The following is a 6,000-nucleotide window of genomic DNA, read 5'->3' as shown; positions in this document are numbered from 1 at the left end:
ACTGTTGGAGGCATTTACAAAGTTCTATCGGGGCTCAAGGGACAGGAACCATGAATCTAACCTCTTGATAGAGAAGCGTCAATATCACGTTGTAAGAAGAGCATACAGGATGAAATATATTTAACTGCAGCTACCTTTGGAAAATAGAATCTGCCACATGAGAGTTTTGGGAAGTTTCTCATATTTTTGGGAAGATGGGAACATAACTGGTTAGCAGGAACAAGGATACCTTCACTAAAAAAAAAACTTGGCCGGGTGCGTTGGCTCACGCCTGTAATCCCAGCACTTTGGGAGGCCGAGGCGGGTGGATCACCTGAGGTCAGGAGTTTGAGACCAGCCTGGCCAACATGACAAAACCCTGTCTCTACTAAAAATACAAAAATTAGCCGGGCATGGTGGCGGGAGCCTGTAATCCCAGCTACTCGGGAGGCTGAGGCAAGAGAATCACTTGAAGCCGGGAGGCGGAGATTGCAATGAGCCAAGATCGCACCGTTGCACTCCAGCCTGGGCAACAGAGCAAGACTCTGTCTCAAAAAAAAAAGAAGAAAACTTGATATAAATCTTGAACCTTTTTTGTATTGAGCAAAGACACCCCCTGTCATTGAACCATCATGACCAAACATATGGGTGTGCTTACAGTTCATCATCAAAGACTTTTGAAAATGTTCTCAGACTACTGAGCTGGAAGATACTTTCAAGGAACCAGAAGCATTTAACTGTCAGCTTGCAAGGACTTTGTGGCTCTTGAGCATGCTCTGCAAAGTAGATGGGCCAAATGGAATCTTTTCCACAGTCCTGCATCATTCCGAGGGTGAAACAGTGTTCCTTGGCTTAATCTTTTTGGGGCAGTGACTTCTAGTCACTGTTTCCTGATGCTGCCAAATACTTCTGGGGAAGCCAGAGTGGCCACTGCCAGGGATGCATGGCCTATGACTTTGGGTGATAGTCAGCTGAAGTTATCTCTATACCTTTGGGCCAGGTTATTTTAAGTTACAGTAGACAGTCTGTGTATCTCATCAACCAACTGGAGGTACTTTCTAGCTAAAAATCACGATTTCAGCATAAAAGAAAAGAAGAGGTAAGTTAAAAGTGAACACCTGTTCTTCTAAAATTGCTCTACTGCAGATACCAGCCCTAGAGAGTTGGCAGATGGTTTTGTGTTTCTAAGCCTGACCTTAGCAGCCCTTCATCAATCTTGAGCTGACTGATTCACAGGAAAGAGGAGACTCCAGCTTCCCAGGGTACCCAAGACATCTTTGATTTAGTTATTACCTGAAGACCAGTTAATTCAGCCACACTGATTCTCTCAAGTTTTCCTAACAAAGCTAGGAAACACTGGGCACAGCCTGGTTGGAGCAGCTTTTTATGAGCTAATTAATTACCCCAGTCATGGATACTCCTAAAAGATAAAGAAAAAAGCATCATGCTGCACCAGGGAAGATGAGTGATCTCCAAGGCCGGCAGCTACCCGGTGGTATGATTCCTACAGCCAAGGTGCTCCCCAGATTTAAAAACTTCCACCTACAGAGCTGAAACTATCGACTGCTTCTCCCTCGGCATTCTTACTCATTGCTGTCCCGGGGAGCTTGTTACTCTGTAGAGAGTTTGCCCCTTGGTTTTCTGGAACTGTTTATTTTTTTAATTTAGGAGCTTTATGTAAATTATTTTTCTTTTAAAGTCAGATAGGATAGTATTGGGTTTTTATGACATAGAAGTAATTCACAGTCAGCTCTCAGTTATCCTCTGGCTGGATTACCTGGGGATCTCTCTTACTTTTCTCCCCCACATAGAGCTCTTCTGCCTCTCACTTGGTTCGGTTTCTTTCCTAGCCACTCAGTCTTTGTTCTTCCAAGCGTTAGGGCTAAACTGAGAAGAGTAAGGGCCAGATCTGGGGATGTGTTGTTCATGTAATGAGAGGTGATTAAGGAGAAGTAATAGAACAGTATACCCACTTTTAAAGATTAGTGTCTCCAGAACTCTGCCCCATTAAAAGATAACCAAAAGCTGACTTTTGCTATTAACTTTCTCTCCATAACAGATGCTATTTTTGGCATTGCATGCATTAATTTTAAAAAATTAATATTTTAAACATATACAAAAGCAAAGCAAATTACTATACTTACCCTACCCCGCCACCAACCAACCAAGTACATGTCATGCAGTTTCAATGCTTATCAACCCATGATCAATTTTATTTCATAGGTGCCCCCAAACTCAGGTGCTCTGTGCTCCATGTTTGGGTTCACCCTCCAACCCTGTTTCCTCAGCTAACATGCCCAGAAGGAGGTGACCTAGGTGTGCTGGACTCCTGCTGTCCTGTCCTCCACTCCACTCATGAGGACCAAGGCTTGAGAACACCTCAAGTGTCACATTCTATTATACTTGATGGGGAAACTCGAGGCGTCCTGGTGGCAGGCAGGACAAAAGGACAGCTGTGCTGGGCTGCCCACAAATTAGGGCATCTTTGGAGGCTGTCCTCTGATTCTCAATTAATTTTTAGGAGAGCTTTAATTACGCCACCAACAGTCCTCACTTGAACAATCACAAGCACTTCAGCTTGGGGGGAAAAGAGCGACTGACTGGATTTGCATAATCATTTGCCCTAATTAGAATGTCAAAAGTTGGTGGCAAAGAGGCCTAGTTGTGCTGTGACTTAGGATCATTTTAATTTAGTCCAATTTCCCATTATTACAATTGCCTTCCTCTTTGCACCTCAGATCCTCTTTCCTTCTAAATGATTTGTAGCAAAACCAAAACTGAAACAATTAGTAACTTGCTTGTTAGGCTGAACTGAAAAAGTCTAAGGGGTTTCTTTCCTTAATTGGAAACACAATTTTAGTTTCCATCTAAATTTATAATTGCATGGATATTTAGATTTAGCACTGGTAACTTAGGTAAACACTTTGCTTTGCATTCAGAAGCCTACTCTCTGTGTGTGTGTGCGAGTGGGTGTGTGTGTGGAAGGGGGTAGAACTGTCTTCAGGTTGTACTACAAGAAACAAATAATGTCTTTGAATAGTCACTTTATTCCAATGTTTGAACACAAGGATTGGTGTGTAATAATAGCTGTATAAGATATACTCATTAATAGAACAATATTATTTTTAATAATTTGTAAAGCTTCCATGATGAATGTTTTGGACTACAGGTTTGAAAGTACAAAGGAAGCTGAGAATAAGCAGAACTCCAGATCTCAGGCATAGAACCACCCTGACCCATTAGAGACTGCTTAGGCATGCATCGGTGATTTCTGGGTCTGGCTGGTAAGCTACTTACCCAGGTCCTAGTTAAATCAGGCATCCTCTGTTTTTCCGCCCTCATTCCCTTTTAACAGCAGGAGGCCACCTATTTAATTAGTTGGGGGTGGGAGCGTCTGTAATCTCCTGGGGGTGGCTTCAGCCCCAGGGTTGGATAAGAGGTTGAATCCAACGCCAGGTGTGGCTGGCCTCTCCCCTGCAACATATGGGGAACCCACCACATTTTCAGCCCAAGTTCCAGTAGCAAGCATTAGTGGAGAGGCCTTCCCTGCTGGGAACACACCCCGCAAAGCCAAGGGCAGGCGGCGTCACTACTAGAGGTCAAGGCAGTTCTTAGACCAAACAGCATCTGGCAAACTGTGCCAATTGGAAATCAATGGCCCTCCCTGGGTGGGTTTAATTTTATGGTTATTTGCACAAACTTACAGCCTCTAATGGGCAGGGCAGAGCTCAGAGCATCCTCCCAGGATTGTTGCAATGAAGTCGGACATCTTCGCAGTGCATTGATAAGTTGAATTGAAGAGTCTGTTTACTAGGGGTTAGTGTTGAGCCTGGCTGTCATGCTAAGACAGAGTAAGGATGAGGTTAGCCATTATTTATCCAGGGCCTGGAGATTTGATTGTCAGTGCAATACGTGTAAGCCCCAAATGCCTTACCACATTGTCTCTAGCCTGAGGGAGACATGGAGGTTCCTCTGCATGTAGCAACATTGAATCATTATGTTCAATTATGTTCAATGTGCCAACTCCATTTTAAGCAGACCCGTTTTTCTTTACATAAGATTTTGTAGTAGTTACATAAAAGATTTTGTAGTAGTTACATAAGATTTTCTTTACATAAGATTTTAGAGCAGTTAAGAGGTTGTGCACTGCAGTCAGGCAAATCCAGGTTCCACGACTCACCAGCAAAAGGTATGTAGGGCAAGTTTCCTAACCTCCCTGGAACTTGCTTTCCTCATCTGTAAATGGGTATGATAATATACCCCCTTCACTGAGCTGCTGAAAGGATGAGGTAAGATGATATGTTGAAGGGGCTTAATATAGTGCCTGGTACATTAATGCACTTTTTCATAAACCTTGGGTGTTAAAGATGACAATAATGATAATAATAATTCCAGCCATAGGATAGGCCTGTTAAAATAGGCAGGAACAGTAGTGTTGAAGTAGTAGTGCTAGTTTTAAAACCTTCAACTTTTAACATTTTTACAATTGAACTCCATAGTCTTAAATTTGTATGAAAATTCTTTAACTTGTTTATTTCTCCCTTGCTCTGACTTGTTAAACTTCCTTGTTTTTCATCAAAGAGATGAGGATCCAGCCATCATGCTGTACTTTGATTCACCCTGAGATGAATGGGTTATTGCTCCGGAAGCACTTCATGCCAATTCCCGGGTCCCATCAGAAACAGAACTTGGGGTACCTGGCAACAGCTATGGCAATGGCTTCTGTCATATTTCTCAGGTGGATCATTCCCAAGAGAGATGGATAAGCAAGATCAAGTGATGATCCATGTGGGAGAAAAGCTTTCATGTAGCTGGGGATGGGGTTGCTTTTTTCAGGGCCAGACATTGATGGAGTGTGGGCTGCCTGGCCTGTACCACAAGGTCTCCTCTCTTCCATCAGAGGTAGTTTCATTGCAATGGACGCCAAGAGAATGGGAGTTCTTGAAGACCTCTGCCTCTGCCCCTGCATGGGGCTGAGTGAGGAGCATGGGAGAGGAAGGGCCAGTTCTACCAGATGAGTAGAGAGCAGCAGCGGTAGGGAGGACTGTGCTACAAACCAGAATCACAGCTTCTGCAAGATGCTTGATTACTTTTTTTTTTTTTTTTTAGTTAATCTACAGCTTCAGCTGGCTTCCATCATTGGGGCAGGATCCCTCTTTCTCTAGCAGGTCCTTCTTTCTCTAGTAGACACAACCTGCAGTGGCTTCTGGCTCACAACTGATCTCCCAGTGACCATGCTGGTGCTCCGTGTCCTGTTCTCTGGCCGAAGCTAGAGACACCTGTCAAGCTGGCCAGCTATGTTCTCTCTCCTGGGTATTTGAAAATGTGACTGAAATAGACAAGTCAGTTGGTGCAGAGTCGTCTCATGATAGTGCTCCAGTGCCAGGAGCAATAGCTCCCAAGGTCCCAGGTCACCTTCATTTACGTCCTGACAGAGAATTGATGGTTTCAGCTTCACTTGATTTAGTGAGCTACTCCCAGCATCTTTCTCATAAATCCCCTTTTTTGCTTAAATTAACCAAAGAGGCTGGGCGTGGTGGCTCACGCCTGTAACCCCAGCACTTTGGGAGGCTGAGGCAGGTGGATCACCTGAGGTCAGGAATTCGAGACTAGCCTGACCAACATGGTGAAACCCCGACTCTACTAAAAATACAAAATTAGCCAGGTGTGGTGGAGTGCAACTGTAATCCCAGCTACTCTGGAGGCTGAGGCAGGAGAATCGCTTGAACCCGGGAGACAGTGGTTGCAGTGAGCCAAGATCATGCCATTGCACTCCAGCTTGGGTGACAGAGTAAGACTCCGTCTCAAACAAAATAAAAAAATAAAAATAAATAAATACATTAACCGAAGAATGGTTATTTTCTTTTTTCTTTTTGCTTCTGAAAGATGCTTGAGTGATACTATTCCCCAACAAAGATTAAAAAAAAAAAAGAGTGAGAATGAGTTTTGTACAGTAGGCTTGTGATGTTTGCAAATGGTTTAACCCAAAACCTCTGGATTCTCTTTTTTTCTTTTTTCTTT

General features: G+C 43.6%; 2 annotated features.

The window, feature by feature from the left end:
• Positions 3,497–3,997: an enhancer, noted in NCBI's record as "H3K4me1 hESC enhancer chr10:70010536-70011036 (GRCh37/hg19 assembly coordinates)". NCBI's record gives its function as "activates a minimal SCP1, AML or CMV promoter by ChIP-STARR-seq in naive H9 embryonic stem cells {active_cell/tissue: H9 hESC(naive)}" and the evidence as "EXISTENCE:reporter gene assay evidence [ECO:0000049][PMID:30033119]".
• Positions 4,877–5,046: an enhancer, noted in NCBI's record as "experimental_16253 CRE fragment used in MPRA reporter constructs". NCBI's record gives its function as "activates a minimal promoter by MPRAs in K562 erythroleukemia cells, with activity observed for the non-introgressed 10:70009572 variant allele {active_cell/tissue: K562}" and the evidence as "EXISTENCE:reporter gene assay evidence [ECO:0000049][PMID:34662402]".

The sequence above is a fragment of the Homo sapiens genome, chromosome 10 (assembly GCF_000001405.40).
Source record: "Homo sapiens chromosome 10, GRCh38.p14 Primary Assembly".
Lineage (NCBI taxonomy): Eukaryota > Metazoa > Chordata > Mammalia > Primates > Hominidae > Homo > Homo sapiens.
The sequence above is the reverse complement of the archived record's forward strand: the minus strand, read 5'-3'. Positions and strand labels throughout refer to the sequence as shown.